Source organism: Homo sapiens, chromosome 13, assembly GCF_000001405.40.
Source record: "Homo sapiens chromosome 13, GRCh38.p14 Primary Assembly".
NCBI classification, from domain to species: domain Eukaryota; kingdom Metazoa; phylum Chordata; class Mammalia; order Primates; family Hominidae; genus Homo; species Homo sapiens.
In genome coordinates this window covers 100224756-100250812 of record NC_000013.11, presented here as the reverse complement: position 1 = coordinate 100250812, position 26057 = coordinate 100224756, and the positions used below count along the sequence as shown (strand labels likewise).

General features: G+C 37.4%; 1 protein-coding gene across 36 annotated transcripts in view; it reads right to left on the bottom strand.

Annotated features, from left to right (window-relative positions):
• The window catches only part of PCCA (propionyl-CoA carboxylase subunit alpha), a 441343-nt gene that overhangs the window by 279623 nt on the left and 135663 nt on the right, over window positions 1-26057 (bottom strand). For 35 of the 36 annotated variants that reach the window (NR_148030.2, NR_148027.2, NR_148028.2 and 32 more), the window contains one exon: window positions 14935-14971. Coding sequence is in view for 25 of the 36 variants with exons in the window: in XM_017020609.2 (XP_016876098.1) it covers window positions 14935-14971 (37 nt within the window). In the remaining 11 variants the exon portion in view is untranslated. Of the gene's footprint in view, window positions 1-14934; window positions 14972-26057 lie in introns of those variants that run through there. The other variant, XM_047430378.1, reaches the window with a different exon arrangement.

The window sequence follows — 26057 nt, the reverse complement described above, 5'->3', positions numbered from 1 at the left end:
TTAAAGCCTAAAAGGCCTTAACCTAAACAAAATTAATGTACCTGCCAGACTAAACATCTATACCTTTTAAATAAAGGTAACAAAATCCAAACACACAATGTAACATTTACAATGTCTAGAATCCAATCAACAATTAAGAGATAGGTAAAGATGCAAAATGTGATTCATATCAGAAGGAAAATAGCTGACAGAAAGAAACCCAGAAATGAAGACTCTTAAAACAGTTGTTACAAATACTATTATAAGTTACAGCTATTACAAACAGGTAAAATGATTTGGAGAAAAAAATAAACATGATGAGATAAATAAGAAAAAAGCAAACATTTTAAAATTAAGTTTTTAGATATTAAAATGACTAAAAAATCCAATAATATATAAAAAGAATTATATACCATGACCAAATGGGATTTAATCCTGGTATGCAAAGCTGATTCAACATCCAAAAATCAATTAATGTAATCCATCACATTAACAGGCTAAAGAAGAAAAATCCTATGATCATATAAATAGATGCAGAAAAAGCATTTAACAAAAATCAACAATCACTGAGTTTAGCAAACTAGGAATAAAGAGAAATTTCTTGTACTTGATAAAGAATATACACAAAAAGCCTACAGTTAACATTACACTTAATGACAAGAAACTGGATGCCTTCTCCCAAAAATCAGGAAAAATACAAGAATGTCCCCTCTTACAACTCTTATTCAACATCTGACTGCAGATTCCAGCTTATGAAGTATGTTAAGAAAAGGAAATAAAGAGTAAACAGACTGGAAAGGAATAAATAGAACTGTCTTCACTAGTGGATAAGATGACTGTCTATGAAGGAATTCCAAAAAAATCAGCAATAACAACAAAATTCTTGGAACTGATAAGCAATTATAGTAAGGTTACAGAATACAAATTAATATACAAAAGATTATCACATTCCTATATACCAGCAGTGAACAACTGGAATTTGAAATTAAAATAGTGACATTTACATTAGCACTAAAGAAATAAAATAGGCATGAATCTTAAAATACATACAGTGTATCTATGAGGAAAACTACAAAACTCTGACGAAAGAAATGGATGAAAATCTAAATGTAGAGATAATCAATGTACATGGATAGGAAGATTCAATATTGTTAAGATATCAATCCTCCTCAACGTGATCTATAGGTTGAACACAATTAAAATCAAAGTCCTAGCAATTTATTTTGTAGATATCCACAAACTGATTCTAAAGTTTATATGGAAAGGAAAAGACCCAGAATAGGCATCACAATATTGAAGAAAAAGAACAAATTCAAAAGACTAACAATACCCAACTTCAAGACTTACTATAAAGCTACAGACATCAAGACAGTATGGTATTGTCTAAGACAGACAAATTACTCAAGAGCCCAGAAGTAGACCCACACAAATACAGTCAACTGAACTATGACAAAGAAGCAATGGCAATTAAATGCAGATAGTCTTTCCAAACAAAGGGTACTGGAATAACTGGATATTCATTATGCAAGAAAATTAATCTTGCCACAATCCTTATACCTTTCACAAAAATTAACTCAAAATGGATCTCAGACCTAAATATACATTGCAGAACTATAAAATTTCTAGAGAAAAAATAGAAGAACATCTAGGTGACTTTGGTTTAGCAATGAGTTTTTACATATAACACCAAAAGCACAAACCATTAAAAATTGGCACATTTAACTTCATTAAAATAAAAATTTCTGCAGCCCAAATAACATTCTTAAAAGAATAAAGACACAGCCGGGCATGGTGGCTGATGCCTGTAATCCCAGCACTTTGGGAGGCCGAGGTGGGCAGATCACCTGAGGTCAGGGGTTCGAGACCAGCCTGGCCAACATGGCAAAACCCCATCTCTACTACAAGTACAAAAAAAAAAAATTAGCCAGGCGTGGTGGCGGGTGCCCATAATCCCAGCTACTCAGGAGGCTGAGGCAGGAGGATCACTTGAACCCGGGAGGCGGAGGTTGCAGTGAGCCAAGCTCGCGCCACTGCACTCCAGCCTGGGCAACAAGAGTGAGACTCCATCTCAAAAAAAAAGAATAAAGACATAAGTTCTAGACTGGGAGAAAATATTTACAAAACCCATACCTAAGAAAGAACTTGTATCCAAAATACACAGAGCTCTTAAAACTCAACCAGGAAACAAACCACCCAATTGAAAAATTAACAAAAGATTTGAAGAGACATCTCAATAAAAAAGAAACACAGATAGCAAATAATAGCATGAAAAGATGCTCAATATTATATGTCATGAGGGAACTGCAAACTGAAACTATGAGATACTACTATGTGCCTATTAGAATGGCTAAAATCCAAAACACTGACAACACTAAATGTTGCCAAAGATGAAGGACACCTGAAGGAATGTCTCCAAGTTGAAATTTCTATAGCAAGCACTGAAACAATAGAAATAGAGTATAAAATTTCCAACATAGTGGAGGGAGGAATGGGAAGGGGACATAAAATAAGAACAAGAGACATTTTTTTTAAAGTCGTCATCAAAAAGAAGCCAAGAAAGAAAACAGAATCCAAAGAATGGAACAAACAAAACCCCCAAAAAGTAGATTATATAAATAAATCAAAATATAATTTTAAATACAATAAATATAAATGGACTAAACTCTCCAGCTAAAAGACAAGCTCCAGCAGGCTGAATAGAAAAACAATAAAATAAAAATCCAGTCCAAATTTAGATGTGCACTTACAAGAGACACACCTAAAACAACAGTTCACTGGCAGATGAAAAAGATAAAGAATGATACAAGGATAAAACAAAAATAAGCTTGTTTAGGAATATTAATATCATAATTAGACTTGAAAACAAAAATTGGTCATTATGTTTTGATAGCCAAGGAAACACGATACACTGTAATACACCTATTATCTAAACAGGGACAAAACCTAACGAGCAAGGAAAAATTGGAAAATCACTTTTTCAAATATAGGTCCATCAGATATCCAAAAACATCACAAAAAGGCTGGATGTGGTGACTCATGCCTATAATCCCAGCACTTTGGGAGGCCGAGGTGGGCGGATTACTTAAGGTTAGGAGTCCGAGACCAGCCTGGCCAACATGGTGAAACCTCATCTCTACTAAAAATACAAAAAAATTAGCCAGGTGTGGTGGCAGGCACCTGTAGTCACAGCTACTCGGGAGGCTGAGGCAGGAGAATTGCTTGAACCCGGGAGGCAGAGGTTGCAGTGAGCCCAGATTGTGCCAATGCACTCCAGCCTAGGTGACAGAGCGAGACTTTGTCTCAAAAAAAAAAAAAAAAGGCCGGGCACGGTGGCTCACACCTGTAATCCCAGCACTTTGGGAGGCAGAGGCGGGCAGATCATGAGCTCAGGAGATCAAGACCATCCTGGCTAATATGGTGAAACCTCGTCTCTACTGAAAATACAAAAAATTAGCCGGGCGTGGAGGCAGGCACCTGTAGTCCCAACTACTTGGGAGGCTGAGGCAAGAGAACGGTGTGAACCTGGGAGGGGAGCTTGCAGTGAGCCGAGATCATGCCACTGTACTCCCGTCTGGGCGACAGAGTGAGACTCTGTCTCAAAAAAAAAAAAAAAAAAAACCCACACAGGCTGGGCGCAGTGGCTTATGCCTGTAATCTCAGCACTTTGGGAGGCCAAGGTGGGCGGATGACCCGAGGTCAGGAGTTCGAGACCAGCCTGGCCAACATGGTGAAACCCCATCTCTACTAAACTATAAAACTTGGTCGGGCATGGTGGTGGGTGCCTGTAATCCCAGCTACTCAGGAGGCTGAGACAGGAGAATCACTTGAACCCGGGAGGCGGAGGTTGCATTGAGCCAAGATCGCACCATTGCACTCTAGCCTGGGTGACAGAGTGAGACTCCATTGTCTTAATTAAAAAAAAAAAAAAAAACTCACTAGAAGTTTTGAATATCCCAATAGGTAGGTTTGACCTCTTGAGTTTTCTATAAGACATTGCATATAATAATTTGAGAATATACACTCTTTTCAGGAACATACAGAATATGTATCAGAGTGACTTATTCCTTAGCCATAAAGCAATTTTCATCAAATCTGAAAGATTTTTAAATGAAAAACATGATACTCTCTGACCACAAAGCAATTAAGTTAGAAATCAATAATAATAAAAAACTATTTTTTTTTCAGTTATTTAGAAATATATCACTAGGCTTGGCATGGTGGCTCACACTTGTAATTCTAGCACTTTGGGAGGCCAAAGCAGGAGGATCAGTAGAGCCCAGGAATTTGAGACCAGCCTGGGCAACATGGCAAAACCCTGTCTCTACAAAAAATACAAAAACAACAACAACAACAAAAATTAGCCAAAAGTGGTGGCATGTGCCTGTAGTCCCAGCTACTCCAGTGGCTGAGGTGGGAGGATCGCTTGAGCCTAGGAGGTTGAGGCTACAGTGAGCCGTGATCACACCACTGCACTCCAGCCTCAATGACAGAGCAAGACTCTATCTCAAAAAATTAAAGAATTAAAATACATCACCAAATAACATATGAGTCAAAATCATAGCAGAAATCTGAAATTACTTAGAAATGAACAATCATGAAAAATATATCTCAAAGTTATTAAGTACAGTTTTCTGCCCAGATCCCTAGTTCAGGACATTGCCCCAACTGTTGTAAGTATTGTCAACCAAAAGCTGACTTGTCCTCGGCTTTCTGCCTAAGGTCATGCCCCTTCCTAGGGGCAGCCCACACCCCCTAGATAGTTGATACAGGTGTATAAAGGCTGAATCCTCTTGCCCGAACTTGGAACAACTAAAAAAGACCAACAAATATTCACAGCTCTCTAAATTATTAGCTGATGGCTTTGTTGAGAGAGAATCAATTCAACTTTTCCCTTGGCTCAGTTTCCTTCATTCCCCCTCAGGTATTGGTCCCAAAATTATTTCCCCCAATAAGCTTCCAGAGTCTACCTCCAAGGGATTACAAGCTATGATAAGAGGAGTACATTTCAAAAGCTGTTACAGTGATGTAGGCAAGGGATGACACTACCTTAAACAAAGAGAATAGCAACAGAAATGCAGAGAAGTAGATAAATTCAAGAAATATTTAGGAGATGGTGGTGACAATCTGCAAATTTCAAAGCCACACAATGAGATATAATAGTAAACACCTTGTCATGAAGAATGTCTTATTGATGATTACCAAAACTGAGGCTTTTCTGTGTCCTGCCTCTGTAATCTATGACATTGCAGATGGTGGAAACTCCATCAGCCTTAGCCACTGAATAAGGATAGCATAGAACAAAATGCCTCCTTCTCACCCTACAACCTGACGAATGAGAATTGAACACACAGAATGAAGAAAAACTAAATCTGTGTTGTTTAAAGTGACAGGAGAGGGGCTGTAAAAATGTGGTATAGTCGAGGTCTGGTGAACTAATGACAACTCCACAAACTCCAATTAAATTTAGCATATTACTAGAGTTTTCCAAGGAATCTAGTTCAGAATCTACTGGGAAATTTGGCTGCCATGCACCATGTGACTAACACTGAAAAATTCCTGCTGTAGATACAAACAAGGAAACAGTTTAAATTCAAACAAATTGGGGAAATACACTCTACTATCAATGCATTACTCATTTTTTATTTGATCATAATTTTCCACTGATTTTATTGCTCTCTTTAAATCACAAAATAGTTATATTTAGTTTCATCATTATCAGTTTAGTTTTGGAGTATCATTCGAGTTGGCAGACCTCAGACTGAGGTGATGCACATTTGCATCAATACTATTTGGGGTCTGTAATTATCCAGTAACTAGTAAACATATATATGTTGGAGTCTATGATTTATCCACATCTCTACTACTGCGCACACACACACACACACACACACACACACACACACAGCCTTTCCTCAGTCTGTCATACACATATATACAAATAACTATATAAACATATTTAAATAAGAATCAATATTCAGTACCTACAAAAATATAATCCAGATGTATTATACACTAAACAAACCAATACATGACACTATTTTATGACACTATTTCTTTGGCAGAGAAAGGAAAAACTGATTTTGCCTGCCTATTTCTCTCTACTTAGGCAAATAAAAATACTAGATCCCTAACTCTGCTCCAGGGATCGGAAATCAGTGCATTTCAGTGCCCAGATTAGAGCAAAACGCTTCACACACAGGAAGTTTCCAAACAAAAAAAGCAATGTTTTTTTCACATTACAATGTGTTTCCACATTCCTGCCTGAATGTTATGCACAGCCTTTTCCAACAGAGTAATAGAAAAAGGAAAAAAATGGTATTCACGAATGACTAACAATAAAACAAGAGAAAGAAGATGAAGGACTGAGAGAAATAAAGGGAGACAGAAACAGCAAATTTAACAGTAAAAGACAGAAAAAGAACTTGTGAAATTATGCTTAAACCCAAATGTGCATGTTGGAATAATAAAAGAAAATATAAGCACCCATTGGAAAAGAAAGAAGAAAAAAAGCCACAGAACACAAGTTCCTGTCTCCCAGGGAATATCATTCTAATCTCAAATGACCACATCACTTCAATAATAGGAAAACAGCAAAATATACATCTCATTATTTAATGGATTTCACATAGATTATTTTAATGCCATTTTCTTTAACATAACTTTTCCTTAGGCGTTATTCAATCTCCTTAAATATTAAATGTCTTCTCCTGAAGACGAAATTGGCAAATAAATTAACAAGATGTAAGATTGTGAAGAAGGTATAAATTGTAATGTTTTTGCAAAGGTTTCTTCCATATAACCTTAACCCCAGAGTCATATATAACATGTGAAAATTTTTCTAAGCTGCATGAAATAGACAAAATAAAAAGATTCCTGACTTAGCCACATATTTTTATCCCTCTTAAGTATGAATTATTGGTTGTATATAAGCAACAAAAGTAACTTTTTAAAAAAATGTTGTATTATGCCAAAAGGAAGATGAGAAGAATAGGCAAAGGCAAACAGCCAGGGCAGAAAAGAAAGGACTACCATATAGCCCCCACACACTACGCAGAGACAGGGCAGACACACTACATCAGAAGACTAATAGTAAAATAAGTCAAATGGGAGAGCCAGACTTTCAAAGAACATAAGATGTCATGGGAACAGGCTGGTGTAAAGGCAATAAGGTTCAGTAAAAGACTTTCATACATTTGAATCTTAGATTCCTATAAATTTCTATTAGTCCAGCCTAATGAACACAAGGACAGCCTACAAGAATTGATGACTAGTAGTCACTAACAAGTATATACTGAATTTATTTGAATAATCCTAGATCATTTTGTTTCAATTATCTATTTGCTGAAAGTTTATCATGTTTTGCTTAATATTCCTTTTTTTCCCCAGGTATCTCTATTATAAAATTGAAGATTAAGGGGGAAAAGGGAGAAAATTATAGTCAAATTCTGGTCTATAAATATTACAAAAGAACTTTAAATATGTGATTGCTTAATTCATTTCTATACATATATATACATATTTCATTTTGATTTATTCACCAAATAACCACTTGCTGAATATATACTCTGTAACAAGCATTAAGTATTAGAAATACAAAGAAAACTAACTCATGGTCAATTTTACTACAAAATAGTAACCAGCCAGATGTGGTGGCTTACACTTGTAATCCCAGCACTTTGGGAGGCCAAGGCAGGGGGAGCACTTGAGGTCAGGAGTTTCAGACTAGTCTGGCCAACATGGTGAAACCTTGTATCTATTAAAAATACAAAAATTAGCCAGGCGTGGTGGTGCATGCCTGTAGTCCCAGCTAAGTGGGGGCTAAGGCAGATGAATCGCTTGAACCCAGGAGGCAGAGGTTGCAGTGAGCTGAGATCACACCACTGCCCTCCAGCCTGGGCAACAGAATGAGACTCTGTCTCAAAAAACAACCACCACCACAACAAAAATTTTACTATAAAATAGTAATCAAATTAATATAAAGCAATCATTTGCAAAGAAAAATAAAATTTATATATTGCAGAGAATCCTATACTATTTTAAGAAAAGAGCAATCCATCAATATAAATCAGTACATGCGGGGAAAAATATTTCTATATCAAACTAAGTCTTGGGAACATTGCGAGTCATGGGCAACACTTTATGAGATATTGCTCCTGTTTGTTATTATATTTTCTTTTTCTTTAACAATTATTTTAACTCAATCATCACTCCTTTCCTCTTTTAATAGTTACTTGAGAAAAATGTGCCTTATATTGTTATTGGGTAGAATGGTCATTATATATCCATAAGGTCTAATTAGTATATAGTGCTGTTCAAGTCCTCTATTCCCTCCCTTACTGATCTCTCTAGATGTTGCATCCATTACTTATAGTGTGCTATTAAAGTCTCCAACTACTATTGTAGAATTAGTCTGTTTCTCCCTTCAATTCCGTCAATGTTTATCTCAAATATTTTAGGGCCATGTTTCCTGGTGCATATACATTTGTAATTGTTAATCAATATAAAATGCCCTTCTTTGTCTCTTAGAATAGTTTTGGACTTAAAGTTTATCTTGTCTGACATTAGTATGCCACCCCAGCTCTCTTTTGGTTACTATTTACATGGGATATCTTTTTCCTTCCTTTCACTTTCAACCTATTTGTGTCTCTGCATCTAAAGTGAGTTTCTTATAGACAGCATATAGTTGAGTCACTTTTTTTAATCTATTCTTCCCTCTGCTACAATAAGATATTATTCTACACACACACTAGGATGGCAATAGTTTTCCTTATAAAAGAAAGAAAATAACAAGGGTTGGCAAGGATATGAAGAGATTGAAACCCTTATATATTCTTGGTAGAAATGTAAAATGGGACAGCCACCATGGAAAATAATTTGCTAGTATCTCCAAAAGTTACACATAGAATTACCATATAACCCAGCAATTTCACTTCGAAGAATATACCCAAAATAATTGAAAACAGGTATACAAACAAATACATGGACATAAATGTTCATAGCAGTACCATTTACAATAGCCAAGAGGTAAAAACAACCCAAATGTCCATCAATAGATGAATAAATAGATAAGGCCAGGTGCAGTGGCTCATGTCTATAATCCCAGCACTCTGGGAGGCCAATGTGGGTGGATCACTTGAGCCCAGGAATTCAAGATCAACTGAGGCAACATGGTGAAAACCCACTACAAAAAAATACAAAAATTAGGCATAGTGGCACACACCTGTAGTCCTAGCTACTCAGGAGGGTAAGGCAGGAGGATTAGTAGAGCCCAGGAGATTAAAGCTGCAGTGAGCTGGGATCACACCACTGCACTCTATCCTGGGTAAAAGAGCGAGACCCTATCTCAAAAAAATAAAAAACAGACAAAATGTGGCATGTACATACAATAGAAAATTATCCAACCGTAAAAAGGGATAAACGGTAGAACATGGATGAACCTTAAAAACACTATTCTGTGTGAAAGAAACCAGACACAAAAGTTCATATGTTGTGATTCCATTTATTTATATGAAATATCCCCAGAATAAGTAAATCCACAAGACACAAAGTAAATTAATGGTTGTCAGGGACTAGATGGAAAGAAAATAAGAAGTACATACTAATGAGTACAGAGTTTCTTTGGGGAGTAATGAAGATCTTCTGAAATTAGATAGTGATTACAGTTACACAACCTTGTAAATACACAAAAAATCACCGAATTGTGCACTTTGAAAGGCTGAATTGTATAGTATTAAAAATTTATCTTAATTTTTAAAAATCTAATCTTTAGTATAAAAATCTGAACAAGTTACCTGCAGGCCAGGGGGTAGGCGAGAACTGACTTGGAAGGATCATGAGGGAAATCTCCAGGGAAATAGTATGTTCAGCACCTTGGTGGGATTCTAAGTTATATATATATATGCATATGTCAAAATCCACAAATACACACTTAAGATTTGTTCACATTATATTGTGTGCAAATTTGGCATCAAAATAACAAAACTGTATACAAATACTGAATTCAATTAATAACACATGTTGAAGTATTTAATGGGACATATACTGGTTGTGCAATTTACTCTGAAATGCAACAAAAATAAAATGGATTAGTATATGAACAGATAAGTGGTAAAGCAAATCTAGAAAAAGGTTAATAGTGGGATCTTAGTGTTGGGTATACGAGTATAAACCGTAACAATTATTTCAAAATGCCGTATGATTGAAATTTTTCAAAATAAAATACTTGGAGAAAAGTTTATGAATAAAAAAAATCTGCAAATCATGAATACTATGCAGAAATTTAGAAAATAGTTATAAGACAGAGAATGACTGGGTGGCAGTATTAGAGAATCTTCTCTTGAAGACATGATACTTAGGCTAAGATATGAAAGACTGCAAGGAGCTATTTTTGTGAAGATATCAGCAAGAGTCTGCTAGGTCCTGCCATCCCCCTTCACCCCGCAAAAGATTAAAAAAAAAAAAAAACTTATCCTAAGGCCCTGAAATTTGCTGTGTTCAAGTAAGCTAATGTGACTGAAGTATGGGAGGCAGAGAAGGGAGTAGTATACAATAAGACTGGAGAGAAAAGCAGGTGTCAAATTACATAGGGATAGTAGTCAGAGTAAAGAATTGTGATTTTTATCTAAGTTCAATGGAGTCATTACAGAATTTAAAGCAGAAATGGGCTGGGATGAGATGAAATATATCCTTGTTCTTTAAAGATTTTAAATATCTCACTGTCAGCTATGTGAAATGTTTAAGAAATGAAGTAAAGAAACTATTGCCACAGTCCCTGCAAAAGACAAAAGTAGTTTGGAGGAGAGTGGTAGTAATGAAGACAGTGTATATAAGATGAACTGACAATGCCTATTGATGTATTTACAACAGGATGATGAGGAAAAGAGGCATCCAGGAGAGACTCAGTTTTGGCCTGACTGAAAGGGGTGACATTTATTGAGATTTGGAAATTCTGGGAGAAGTAGGTTTGTAGTATGGTAGACCTGAGGATCAAAAAAAAAAGTTTTTATTTAAATTGGGCATGATTTGTGATTGTGAGAAAGACAAGCAAAGGAAAAGAATCTGAATAATCTGGAAGTTGTTAAAGGACAGGTTTTAGATTCACAATTTATTTTCCTTTCAAGAATCAATTTTGACTTGATTGTATTAAGGACCTTTGGCCCAGTAAAAAGATCAAACTTCAATGGAAATCAAGCTCACTGATTACTGTTGTCTATCATTGAGGTTAAAGACAAACTGAGGATCAATAGCTCTGTATCTCTCAACTTAGATAGGTCAAAGTAAAAAATCAGGAACAAGAATGAGAGAAACTAGGTAGTCCAAAAAACAAATACATACAAGTAACATATTAAGTCTTAACTGTCTCTCACCTCATCAAGGATAGGAGACTGTCTGCTTCTTTAATTCCATGTATAACACATTTGAGTACCTTACAGTATTTTACACAAAGTAGTCGCTCAAATTTTAGCTGCCATCCTCTAATCCCATTGGTTTAGACACAGTATAATAAAAAGTCTGTGGTCTTTGGAGTCAAATAAACCTAAATTTAAACCAGGGTCCACCACTCGATAGTTCTGTGACCTTGAGCAAATTACTTACCATTTCTAATCATTAGTTTCCTTAAATGTAAACAAAAATGATTAAACCCAAGAATTAGCATTAGAAACAACATTTCCAAAGTGCCTGGCCTTAGGAAGAAATGCTCCATAAACTGGAGTTACCATTATGTAAAAGGCACTTAATTCATCAATGCTCAATACAGTGAGTTTCCTACTTTGGCAGCATAGATTAATGTTTCCAGAAGAAAAGCAAAGACATGAGAGAGGAGGAAATCACATAAAACAGGATAAACTTCATTTTCATCACATAACACAGAAAGAATTAAGAGAGAACTCTATGAATAGGTATAACACATGGACAATCAACAACTTACAAATGGATAGGTTCAAAGGTTTGATTATAAATCAGTTGTTTAGAACTAGGAACACATTTTCACATGGAATCATAATCATAGTTAAAATGTGATATATCTCAATAAAATCAGTAGTAAAAAACTTACGAAATATCAAACAACACAGAAAGCCAACAGACTTTAATAAAACATAATTTAATTTACTTTAGAAAGTAGCACTTCAAGGAAAAGATTTTATGCGAGGCTTCTGAGGTGATTCAGAAGAGATTTTCAGAGAAATTCTAAAAGCTTTGTAAGAGCTGATGACCCTAGTTCTTTATGGTTTATTTTACCTCAAATTTTATGGTTTCCCTTTCTTTCAGTATAAGCAAAACACCAGTACTCTTATACTTAATAGCCATGATTGCTATCATTTATTTCACAAGCAAGAGAGAGTAATTGGGGAAGAATTAGAAGAAGGACAGGAAAGAGAAAGGAGTCATAAAGGATGTGCCCAAGTACAAAGAAAAAAGACTTAGATTAGATTAGGTAACTTCAGTAGGAAAAAATAAAAAATGAAAAGGAGGTAAAGCACAGCATTAAAATATTGAGGGAGGAAAGCAAAGTGATGAGAACTAGTTAGACAGAGGCCCATCATGATGAGCTGGTTATCTTAAAGGTGACAGGTTATAACGAAAGTGGAAAATGGCCAGGTGCACTGGCTTATGCCTGTAATCCCGGCACTTTGGGAGGCTGAGGTGGGCAGATCACCTAAGGTCAGGAGTTCGAGACCAGCCTGGCCAGTATGGTGAAACCCCGTCTCTACTAAAAATACAAAAAAATTAGCTGGCATTGTGGTGTGTGCCTGCAATCCCAGCTACTCAGGAGGTGAAGGCAGGAGAATCACCTGAACCCGGGAGGCAGAAGTTGCAGTGAGCAGAGATCGCACCACTGCACTCCAACCTGGGCAACAAGAGTGAAAAGTCTGTCTCAAAAAAAAAAAAAAAGAAAGAAAGAAAGAAAGAAAGTGGAAGAAAAGGCATAAAGGAAGCAAAGCAATCCACGGCCTGCTATTTACACAAAGGGAATGCTCGCAAGTCCAAAATTCACCATTCAAAATGTGGCACTGCAGTGTAACTGTAAATTTTCTTCTAATCCCTTTATTTCCCTAAATTTCTCTAAATATTGTCCTTTATGTAGATACTGTAATAATAATAATAACAGTATTATTATATCCAATGAGGTTGATAATAATATCTAACCTAGAACTAGAAAAAGAGCTTTTTAAATGTAAAGATGTCTGACAGGATGGAATTAAACTATTTTAGAAAACTATCCTCAAAAGCCAGTAGGTATATTATATGCCTCTTAGGCAATGAGGAATACCAGTGATTTCAAACCATGAACAGAAACTTTTGATTTTTCTCCATAAAGAAACCACAGAATCAGTTCTATATAGTCCAGTTTATTTAGCAGTCGAGCAAATGTTCCTATGAAGTACTGATAGGCTTTTTGAAATGTTAATGATTCTGAAAAAAAAAATGAAGAGATGAGGTAGTCAGATAAAATAAGATTTTCTATGGTCTGGTCTTAAATCCAGGACCTATATCAATAAGATAGATTTTTGCAAAGCAAACAACAAAACACACTTAATGATGGGCAAAGCCCAAATAATTTAGACAGTACCAACTACAAACAAGGGTGCAATAAGCCAAACTGCTTTTCAGGTCACTAAAGACCTGCTAAGTTAGACTGTCCCATTTGCAAAGAACACGCTTACTAGTACAAGTGATCACTTCCAGACCAATAAGATATTTCTACATATCACAACTATATGAGCTTTGCCAAATCAAATGCTCTCTAGAGGCAGAAAATAGATCTAAATAATCTTAGTGAGAAAACAGGCCTACAGAAATGTTCGTGTGGCACGATGAGATGCTTGGACTGAGGCGTACAGGAATGCTGAGAAGACGCTGGGATCCCTACAAGCATTGCCTAATTTCTCTCATCTGTACAAATTTCTGTCAAATGTATACAATTACTGATTTGATTATTAAACCTGCAAAGTTATTTAACAATATTGTTAATCCATATAATAGCATGCCCTTACACATTTTCTCAATTAGCAGATACCAAAAATAGTTCTCATGACCGCCAAGAATATTTTTAAAATTAAAAAGTTGCGAGCCAGGGGCGGTGGCTCACGCCTGTAATCCCAGCACTTTGGGAGGCTGAGGCGGGTGGATCACCTGAGGTCAGGAGTTCGAGACCAGCCTGGCCAACATAGTGAAACTCCATCTCTACTAAAAATACAAAAAATTAGCTGGGCGTGATGGCAGGCACCTGTAATCCCAGCTACTAGGGAGGCTGAGGCAGGAGAATCGCTTGAACCTGGAAGGCAGAGGTTGCAGTGAGCGGAGATCGTGCCATTGCACTCCAGCCTGGGCAATGACAGCAAAACTCCATCTTAAAAAAAAAAAAGGAAAGAAAAGAAAAAGAAAAGAAATTAAAAAGTTGGGAAACACTGCCCAAATACAAGTACATGTAAAACAGCCATTAAAAACTCCTCCAGTCTACCTTTTATTCCAATTTAGATCATTCAGTTCTAATTTCCCACATCTATTTTATCTTTCCCATCTAACAAGATTAAGTTGATACCTAACATCTTAGCAAAAGGCAAAAACTTAAAGAACTATGTCACATATGGTATCTTCATTTTAATCCAAATGTTCTTAATTTTAACAAACCACATTCAACTATGTACATATAAATTGACATTAAACTTATATCCAATCTTTAGAATTCTTAAGACAATTCCTTCTTTGAATTAGCCTGTGATCTCATCTTACAAAAGAGTTATGTATAGTTAAGGTCAAATTACTCTTTACAGTCTCCTTTAATAATAGAATTTGGCAATTCAACTGATACATTCTTCCAGAGCAACAAGTAATCAAAATCTAAAACTATTAAAGTATTATTTGCTCTATGGGAATTACTTATTACCTGTTGACTCAACCGTATCTGCTGAAAGACACAGAAATCCTACCAAAGTTAATTTAAGGACTTACCAATTTCCCTTGCAATTCTGACAGCTTCTTCTGCATCCTGTAAAAGCAGGAAATGAGACTCAACATTAATCCCATGAGGCATTGCACAATGTCTTTAGGGCAGTCATATATTGCACTACTGTCTCCTCCGATTCATTTAATGTTCAATTTTACTACCTTCTAACCCTTTTCATTCAGAGAAATGTAAAATTAATACCATAAGTGGAATGTAAATTCTACCTCATCATTATTATATTAAGAAACTCAAAGCAGTTGAAATGAGCTGGCAGGAAGCACTACCAGAATTGCCAATGATTTGGTGCAGTTGCCGGAATTTAATGGCAGAATTTAGATGTTTACAATCAATACTGAATCATAAATCAGGTCATTAAAGCTTGTCCGCAGCCAGCTTGTTTCTGTCCAATATTATGTGTCATGTTTTCCTAGATTCTGTCAGCAGGGGGAGTTGATTCTCTATTGTTTGGGAGTAGTTGATCGATTTTGCAGAAATATGAAAGTTAATTTCCAGTACCTACAGGAATTACGAATTGTTCCAAAAAATCCTTTTGGTAATCTGCATTACCTTTTCTTTTCTATTGTTTCTTTCTTTTTTTTTTTTTTCAGGTACATATTTTATCTCTACAATTGTATCTTGTTACATAAATTAAAAAAAAACTTTAATTTCAACGAACCAACTACTGGAGGAAAAAACTCCAAAAAGCAAAAGAAAGAAAATACCTTCCTAAACAGTAAGGGGTAAAAGTTTATCCATTTAAGGATTAGTTATTGCTAAATATTAACCAATGCCACTTCTACCTCTAAGAAGATGAAAAGACAAAAACTTCCCTTGAATCTAAGTAATTTCACTGATCATTAACCCTCACCTAACACATCCAACACAGGACACTGCTGAATCATTTCCCCAAATAACAATAAAGATAATGTTGAAATCTAAGCCTCCTTCGTGTGTGTGGGTATGTGTGGGGTGTGTGTGTGTGTGTGTGTGTTTGTGTAATTCAGTGACACAAACTAAACTACCACAAAGACTGACAATATTGTTTTGAAACCACAGCTGGTAAGTGTGACTGAATTTTTAGAAAATGACTAAAATGCTGAAGTGAAGCCCAGTGTTTTTTAAGCTTTTAAGCTAATACGTTTAAAATGTAGAGCAACCATGTCAGAATCCTCCGAGAAGGGGGCGGGGGGGGATGTTTATAACTGGTTCACTTATGTCTAATAAAAAAAAATCTTCTTTAAAGTTCTTCAGTACCTAATAACATCCCCTGAATAAGGAGGTTGGCAGGGGAAGTTGTCAGAAAAATTTAATTTCCTTTCATTAGCCAGTCTGCTCCACAAATAGGTGCTTGTTAAGTTCAAAGGGGTCCTGAAAGCGACATCAGTTTTAAGTTGTTTTTTTTTTTTTTTACTCCAAGCAGTCACATCTGCTAATGAGATTTTCCAAATAACAATTGTTTTCAAGTCAGAGATAAATCTATATCTCCCACCCTATGCCTTCCAAAATCAAGGTTTACTGCTTTATTACACGTTGCTGTTTTCGCTGACCCTACATTCTCCAAACTTTAGCTTAAAGGGATGAAAATCCATGAAAAGGGTCATTTAAGAATGTTAGTGGTTTCCACACATTGAGTTGGAAGGTTCTTTGTTCCAGCCAGTGACAGTTATTGGAGAATACTTCCCCTTAATAGCCTCTCTGTCAGGAAGTGTTAAACCTGCCAAATGCGAACAATTAGTGCCTCTTGAACAAAATACAGGAAGAGTGATGGCTGATGAAGACTGGATTATAATAAACCTAGAAGAAAACTTTTAACATTTCTTTCCAACGTGATGAGAGAAAATAAACTGCTATTGTAAAAAGTTCATCACTTGAGAGAACTAACAGGCAAGTTTTAAAAGGTAATTCAAAAATTCATTAGACATATTTTGTCACTTATTTGAATATACATGTTATAGCTGGGTGTGTATGGATACATAAAGCCATATCTATATCTGACACAGCAAATTAAAAATTCCACTGCCACAAATCCAACACTTCTATAGCATGCCACAAAGCAAGCTTATCTTTCAACTTAACAGCATGCTAAGTCTTCTTACTATGAAAATTAGATTCTTCTAAATGAACTTTCAAATAAAATCAAGCTGCCTTAAAAATTAACTTTTCACTTGTCACTCATTCATCCAAAAATACTTTACTGAGGACCTATTATGCACTGGACATTAAAATCTCTATTACTGTTTCAATAATAAACTACTAAATATTATACACTCAGCCCCAATATGGTCTTTGAGAACATGAAGTTTTATTATCAGGCTCTACAAAATTACTTTTGAAGAGATAAAAAGCCCTATATAGCTCCAAATTCAATGGCACTAAGTGACATCACACTGTAAAGGTTGCCTATAACATCATAAGTTTAAAAAACTTTAATCAAACTCTGAATCAACTAAAAAAAGGACCAACAATCATCACAAAAGATTAAATTAAAAGCTCACAGAAAAACAGTTCCAGAAGCACAATATCTGTGCTCAGCCTTGCTCCTAATTACAGAAATACAAATTAAAACAATGAGATCTCACTTTTCCTCTAGCAAATTAAAATCTGATAATGGCCAGGATGACAAAGTTAAATACTTCTCATATTACTGGTGTCATAGAAAATGGGATAATCTTTTTAAAAAGAAATTGTCAGTATCTACCAAAAGTTTGAGGACACGTTATCTTTTGTTCTGAAATTTTACTCCTGGGAAGTCATCCTACAGATATACCCACATGAGTGAACACAGAGAGACATACAAAGAAATTCATTATTTTGAATTCGTTGGTGGTGTTTTAATAAGAAAAAAATTCTGAAAAACAATTTAGTAAGCCTTCAACAAAGGACTGGTACATCCATAAAATGAAATATTAGCCTTTAAAAAGAATGCAGTTGATCTATATGTTCTTATTCAACCACTTATACATTAATTCAATAACTATCTGCCCAGCAACACTACATGAAATACATCTTCTGCCTTCATGGAGCTTATTACAAACTAATGAGAGAAACAGAAAATAAACAAATCAATTGATAACTAAAATAAATGTTACATAGAAACAGAGTACTCAGGCAAGAATACTAGGGAGAACTTGTTTCAGACAGGCTGCTCAGAAAGGGCCCTTCTGGAGTAAAATTTTAAACCTAAGGATAAAGACATCTAGCCAGGCCAAGCACAGTGGCTCACACCTGTAATCCCAGCACTTTGGGAGGCCAAGATGGGAGGATCACTTGAGGGTAGGAGTTTGAGACTAGCCTGGGCAACATGGCAAGATCTCTATCTCTACAAAAAAATACAAAAATTACTGGGTGTGGTGGTGGGACCTGTAGTCCCAGCTACTTGGGAGGCTGAGGCAGGAGGATTGCATGAGCCCAGGAGGTCAGAGCTGCAGTGAGCCATGATGGCGCCACTGCACTCCTGCCTGGGAAATAAAGTGAGACTCCGTCTCTAAAACCACACACACACACACACACACACACACACACACACACACACGCATACACACACACACATAAACATAAACAGCTAGCTACCATGGAAAGATCAGGGAGAAAGAACATTAGACAGAGGGAACCACACATATAAAAATCCTAGATGAGGAAGCAATTTCATAGGGAAAGAATATCAGGCAGCTAAAGCTGAAACACAGTAAGGAAGTGGCAGCAAAGCACAAGATAAGGAGGTATGGACGGCGTGGCCCTGTTCTGGCCAGATCTTATGGGATTTGGTACACAGTCCAAGATGCCTTGGTTCTATACAAGGCAATGACAAATGACAATTAAGCTTTAAGAGAGTAACTCTTACACTGTAAAAATAAGCAAAATAAAGTATATACTGGGGGCGGGGGTAGCAAGTTGGAGTACATAGCGTATGACCTTACCTACATTAAGACAGAAATACACATTTGAACGCACAGGAAAGTTTAAGCATTAGACAGCTACAGAAACCAATTTACTGCTCAAAAGTAGGACAGACAGCCGGGCATGGTAACTCAGGCCTATAATCCCAGCTACTCAGGAGGCCCAGGCAGGAAGACCACTTGAGCCCAGGAGTTCTGTACTGACTTAAGCAACATCGCAAGACCTTGTCTATATTTAAGAATAAATAAATAAATAAATGTAAAAGGTAGGATTAAAAGTTGTAGGAAAAGGGAAATTAAAATTGTATGCTCTTAGGTACACGTTGAACTTTTTTACCATAAGAATCATAATTTCATACTTCATATTTTCATAGTTTAAAAATTAAATCAGCCATGCCTGAAGTTATCAAATTATTAATGATTTTGAGAATATTAAATGTTATCAAAACAAACTAGGAGTCCCCAAAATCACTTAAGCTTTTCATGACATCCCATTGCCTCAAAACCAAGTTTGAACTCCCTAGGCTGGTTTCAATACTTGATCCTGTCCGCCTAAGCATGAGTCTCAGCCCCACCCCTGTTCATCTTGCATCTTACCCTGCAGCCCAAGGCCCAGGCAGGCTCCCCAGCCTTGCACAGCCTTCTCAGTTCAGCCAGCCTCAGCCAGTAACTCTCTCCCCTTTTACCAAACCAGCTTTTATTACAATAGGCCCAATTCTGGGCCCTGAAGACACGGGACGGAACAAGAAAGACATCATCTTGGCCAACAGGTAATTTACAGGCTGGTGGAAAAGACAAACCTTAAATACAGCCACACAGCAGCTAAGGAATGATTATGTGGTGCATGTTATGTACAAGTTTTAAAGAGGGCATGTGACAACAGGGGATCTCTAATCCAAAAATAGATTCCTGAAAACTTTCTCAGGCGTGGTAACTGAAAAGACACCTTAGAAATAGAAGCGTAGTGAAAAACAGTGTCTGGGACCTGAAGAGAGAGGCGAGGGGAAGGCTGGGCCTCACAGCCACATGAGAGAAACTGAACTGTAGCCTCAGAGCAAGGAAATGAAGGGCTAGCTCTGGTTGCAGGCTGGAGAATTCTGGCATAGCATCTGCTTACTTATGATGTGCACTGTCCACCCTCTGCACCTCCCTAGCCCATTAAAATGTAAGCTCCATAAGGACAGAAACCCTTGTCCAGCTGGTTCAAGTTAGGTATTTCAAATCCCGAGCACACGCCTGGCACAGTTGTTATTCAACCAACAGTTGTTGGAAGAATAAATGAATGAATGAACAAACAAATGAACACTTTGAGAGGCAAGAGGGATCTGAAGAGTCAGGCTGGGAGGCAGTAGTCTGGGTGACAGGAAAATGACCATTTCCTCCCAGAGTCCAGGGTGGCATGCTTCCAGTTTCAGCTAATGCCACGTTCTTTCTTTTTTTTTTTTTTTGAGATGGGAGTCTGTCACTCAGGCTGGAGTGCAGTGGCACGACCTCGGCTCACTGCAACCTTTGCCTCCTGGGTTCAAGTAGTTCTCTTGCCTTAGCCTCCTGAGTAGCTGGGACTACAGGCAAACACCACCACACCCGGCTAATTTTTGTATTCTAAGTAGAGACAGGGTTTCACCATTTTTGGCCAGGCTGATCTCTAACTCCTGACCTCAGGTGATCCGCCCACCTCGGCTTCCCAAAGTGCTGGGATTACAGGCATGAGCCACCGCGCCCAGCCTGCCACTTTCTTTAGAGTGCCTTTCCAGTCCTCCCACACCTGGCTAGGTATCATTGCCACATGAACACATACACCACGCCCTGCAATTATGCAGCCCTTTTCACACTTAACCTTCATGAGGGCAACAACTAGCTGTCTTACTCTCTACTAAATCCCCAGAGTTTAGCAAATTAACGCAATCAACACATTATTTCTTCCATGAATAAACAACTATCCGCATCAGCTTCCATAAAAATTAGTCTGTTAGGATAAGACACAATCTCACAAATGCCAACAGAACTATTCATCTCCAGAGCAGCGGTTTTATAAGTGAGTTAACTGACATCCAAAGGCAGGGGTTCAGGGCAGGGACTCAGAACCAGACAGGCTTCTGTTAGAAATGCTTGTTCCCCAGTGCCGTAAAGAAACAGCACTGGAACATAAATTTAATTTCCTCAGCAAGGCCATGTTTACTTTCTGCAGAAAGGGTACATTCGCCAGCAGTTTTGCCACGAGAGTACATTGAACAAAGGAGACAGGGTCATTTATAACCTGAGGCGCCCACCCTACTGCTGTGTCCGGTTTCCATTGGCTGGAACAGGACCTCACATTTTGTATTTGTCCCAATTGGCTAACAACATAGAACTTTTTAAAAGAGGCAACGGCAGAGGAGAACAAAGGAAGGAGGAAGTAACTTGTGGAATACTGAGAAAGGTAAAAACACCTTCAAATAAGGAAGAGGAACAGGCTATGACTTAATGCTTGCTTGGACCAGTATAAGCATGCCAGGGCAAATATTTAGGCTAAATTGTGGGAGCTGAGAACATAAAGTACATTGATTTCTTTATTACAGCTAGCAGATATTTAAGAATGTTAGCACAGGTCTTAGAATAAATTTTGCTTCTAAGAGAAGTTACTATTTATTCCTAATTAGATGGGGAGGAAAGTCTTTGAAGAGGAACCTCTACTTTACTTTTTACACTTCAGTTTTGCTTCAGTTTAAAACAAGGTGCACTCAGTGAAATACTGTTGGCATTGGGCAAAACCAAGCCCAATATTTTTGGGATTCTCAGTCCAGCACTTCTTCCACCACATCATGCAACTTCCAGAGTTTGAATTTTAGGTTTTGTAAAACCTGCTCTTCTAAAAAATATAGTTCTACTCCATAATTTTTAAGTAAAGTGTTGCATTAGGAAAAAAAAAAAATCAAATTCTACATGGCAATAAGTTTTCAAATTGAAAAGCCACAAGTTTAAGTTATAATACAAAACAAAAGAAAGCAGCTCATTTCAATGTATAGATATCAAACTTTATTTCATAAAAATGTAAAAGGTTAAACTTTATTTTACTAAATATACTTTGTGCTTTTTTTTTTTTTTTTTTGAGAAAGAGTCTCACTGTGTTACCCAGGCTGGAGTGCAATGGAGCGATCCCCGCTCATTGCAACCTCCACCTCCCAGGTTCAAACGATTCTCCTGCCTCAGCCTCCCAAGTAGCTGGGATTATAGGCACACACCACCACGTATGACTAATTTTTTTTGTATTTTTAGTAGAGATGGGGTTTCACCATCTTGGCAGGCTGGTTTCGAACTCCTGACCTCAAGTGATCCTCCCACCTCAGCCTCCCAAAGTGCTAGGATTACAGGAGTGAGCCACCGCGCCCAGCCTTTGTTCTTTATTTATATAAAATAAATATATTTTAAACAAAACAACATTATCTCTTCACAAATACAGCTTGGCAATATTTGAAGAAAAAGTGGAGCTGATTATTCTTAACACTCTTTAAAATATTCTTAAGACAGCTCTCACATCTATGATTACATGACACACAATACATGAAAATATGAAAGGGCTTAGAACAATAAACTCTGTTAACATAATGTTCAATAATATCCTATAATTTATTAAAAGAAAATTTCTGACACATTACATAATAATCCTCCCCAAAGTGGAAGAAAAGTCAAATATGCCAGGCATGGTGGCTCACGCCTGTAATCCCAGCACTCTGGGAGGCTGAGGCAGGCGGATCATCTGAGGTCAGGAGTTCGAGACCAGCCTGGCCGACATGGTGAAATCCCATATTTACTAAAAATACAAAAATCAGCTGGGCGTGGTGGCATGCGCCTTTAATCCCAGCTACTCCGGGGGCTGAGGCAGGGGAATTGATTGAACCCGGGAGGCAGAAGTTGCAGTGAGCCGAGATGGCACCACTGCACTCCAGCCTGGGTGAAAGAGCAAGACCCTGTCTGGAAAAAAAAAAGAAAAAGTCAAATATAAAAATTTCAGCAGAATTGTTAAAACAAATTTGATGCTATTCATTTTCCCTTAAAAATTTTTCATTTGAAGTCTTTAGAATAGTTTTATTTTCATATCACAAGTAATACAATTGAGAAAACAAAAAGTACACAAAAAAATTAAAAATGTGTCAGCAACAATGCTCAGATGATGGTATTCCTGATGGTTTCCAATCAGGAGGTAGGGAAAAAAGAGTCCAATGATATCATTTTATTCTATTCTTCTAAGTGATAAACTACCTGGTGGTCCATTCTTTCTGTAATCCCAGCTTGTCCTGAGGGAAGGCACACTCAGGTTCTGAAGCTATTTAACTCTTTTGAGCACCGATGGGGAAAGAGTTACAGGAAAGTACTAAGAATACAATGCCAAAAGAGTAGCTTAAGAAACGGAGAAAAGGGAAAGAAACCAAGCAAACCAGTACCCATTTCTTTTATTCCTCTTATTCCTCTATTACAAAACAACTCACATTAAGTGGGCTCTATCACCCAACCCAAGAATAGTAACAGTAAAAAGTACTATTTAACTGTGAATATGATGGGAGTGGTGGATGATGCTACAAAAACTAACTAAATGGTAGTAAAAACTAACCAGAAAAAACGTGAAAAGAGTTAACAAAAATCTGGTGCCTTTTCTGCAAATGTCATTTATTTGTTAATACCTAGAACATGGCCTGTGGGGTAACCAAGCCTTGCAGTTAAGAGCTCAGGTGTGGGCTGGGCACAACGGCTCCTGCCTGTAATCCCAGCACTTTGGGAGGCAGAGGCAGGCGGATCACCTGAGGTCAGGAATTCAAGACCAGCCTGGCCAATATGGTGAAACCCCGTCTCTACCAAAAAAAAAACAAAAAAATTAGCCGGGCGTGGTGGCGCATGCCTGCAATCCCAGCTACTCAGGAGGCGGAGGTTGCAGTGAGCCAAGATAGTGCCACTGCACTCCAGTATGGGCGACAGAGCAAGACTTCGTCTCAAAGAAAAAAAGAACACAGGCGCTATGCCAGAAGGCTTGGGCTCCAATACTGCTTCTGTGACTGTGACTGAGTTACTAGAGTGCCTCTCTGGTATTCGGTTTCCTCATCTGTAAAATGGACATAATAACAGTATCTATCTCATAGGGTTATTAAGAAGATGAAATTAGTCAAGGCTGAAACACATTAGAACAGCACCTGGCCCACAGTAGGTACTCAATTAAGGTTAGTAATTATGAGAAAATGGGCAGCCCGCCACCCCAAACTACCATGTTGGTACCTTCCCTGCCTGGCCTTACTTGTTATATCCTGTGTCATTACTCATCTTCTGAACCTAGATAACATAGAACTAACCCTGGCGCTACAATACTGGAAAAAACATGTACTTCCTCTCTTATAATGCACTGGATCAGACGATCTACGAACTCGGTATTGCTGGTGAACAGGGCAAAACACAAGGAAGCGCAGAAAACACTACAACAAAGACAGGCACATTCGAATCATTCTTCCCAGATGCTAAACACCCATACATTTTGATAGTGGTATTAGTGTCAACGCCGACCACCATTCATGATTCAGACATCCTTCTCACTTGCTACTGCCTACTTACCAATCCTTAATTTTCTATTCTGTGGATGAGAATCCTGCTACCCATTCATATGAAAGCCACTTAGGAGTTTACAGCTGGTTCTAGAAGGGAATCAGTGACTGTTTATTAAAAAAAAATAATAATTTGTTTCAAGACACTACAGGTAAGAGTTATATCTGTACCCTAAAAGCTGTCCTCAAACTATTCTGCATTCATATATAAAGTAAAGCAGAAACTTTTAAACAATCCTGGGCTCAGGAATGGCTTTCTAGCTTCCACATAATCCAGTTAACTCAAAGTCAGGCAGAAGATTCTTTCTGTTTTAATATACTTCCAAATCTTTCGGCCGGGCACAGTGGCTCATGCCTGCAATTCCAGCACTTTGGGAGGTCGTGAAGGTGGATCACTTGAGACCAGGAGTTCCAGACAAGCCTGGGCAACATGGCAAAACCCTATCTCTACTAAAAACACAAAAGTTAGCCAGGTGTGGCAGCCCACACCTGTAAACTCAGCTACTTGAGAGGCTGAGGCACAAGAATCACTTGAAACCGGAAGGTGGTGCTTTTCAGTGAGCCAAGATCGCGCCACTGCACTCCAGCCTGGGTGACTGAGCGACACTCTTCGTCTCAAAGAAAAAAAAAAGCTTTCTAAAATTTAGTACACTTTTCTATCATTGTAAAAACAGCATAGTAAAAATAATTGAGTCTTTTTTTCCAAAATATAAAACCTTTGAGGCTTCATCAGGAAAACTGATTATTCTTGGTTTAGCAGGGACAAATACACTAATGTTTAATGTTATACTTTCTAATTGCTGAGACACAGCTTGTCTCCAATTTTTTGGTTTTTGTTTTTAGGGTCTTTTTTAAATGATTTCCTTCACACTAGCTTTCTTAGTTATTTGCCTCCTTCTGCTAAAGCAAGAGTACAGTTTTTAAAGTCTGGCCAATTAGGTGATAAAAACAATTACTACTTTAAATCTACACTGCCTAATTTACAAAACTCATTCAAATACACGGCCATACTCTGTTCTGTGGTGTAAACGGGTATTACTATTTCCTCTTAACGAACAATTAGAACTAAAGGACATTAAATAAATTTCTTCTGAAACTGGTGTGTTAATAGGTATTACAACCAAATGCAGTAAAATAATCATCAATGATCCTTCCCTCCACTTCACACCTGACATTGAACAGATCACATAATCCCATGGATTCCACTTCCACTATCTTTCTCAACACCATCTACTTTGTTGCATACAATACTTTATTTTAGGGGTCTACCGTTTCTATCCTGGATTAGAAGAGGATCCTAATTTGTCTACCAACTTCAAGTTTTGCCATGCTCCAATTTACTTTCCACACAACAAACCAAAATGAGTTTTCTAATGCCACAATTCTGTCATGTTAACTCTTCTGCATGAAATTATTCAGAGGCTCCCCAAACCACAAGAATAGCCTTCAAAATAAGTTACATCACATTCCAGCCCATACATATCTGGATCCTAATTTTCTCTCTAGCTCCCTTTCTAACTGCAGCCCCTCATACTACAAATCTGCAGTTTTCCAGAGTTCTCACTGTCTCTCACCTCCAGGCTTTTGCAATAAGATGTTTTCACTGACATTAGAGCTGTGTCCATCATCAATCTCACTTTTCAGCTAACTCACTACCACTCAGACTTG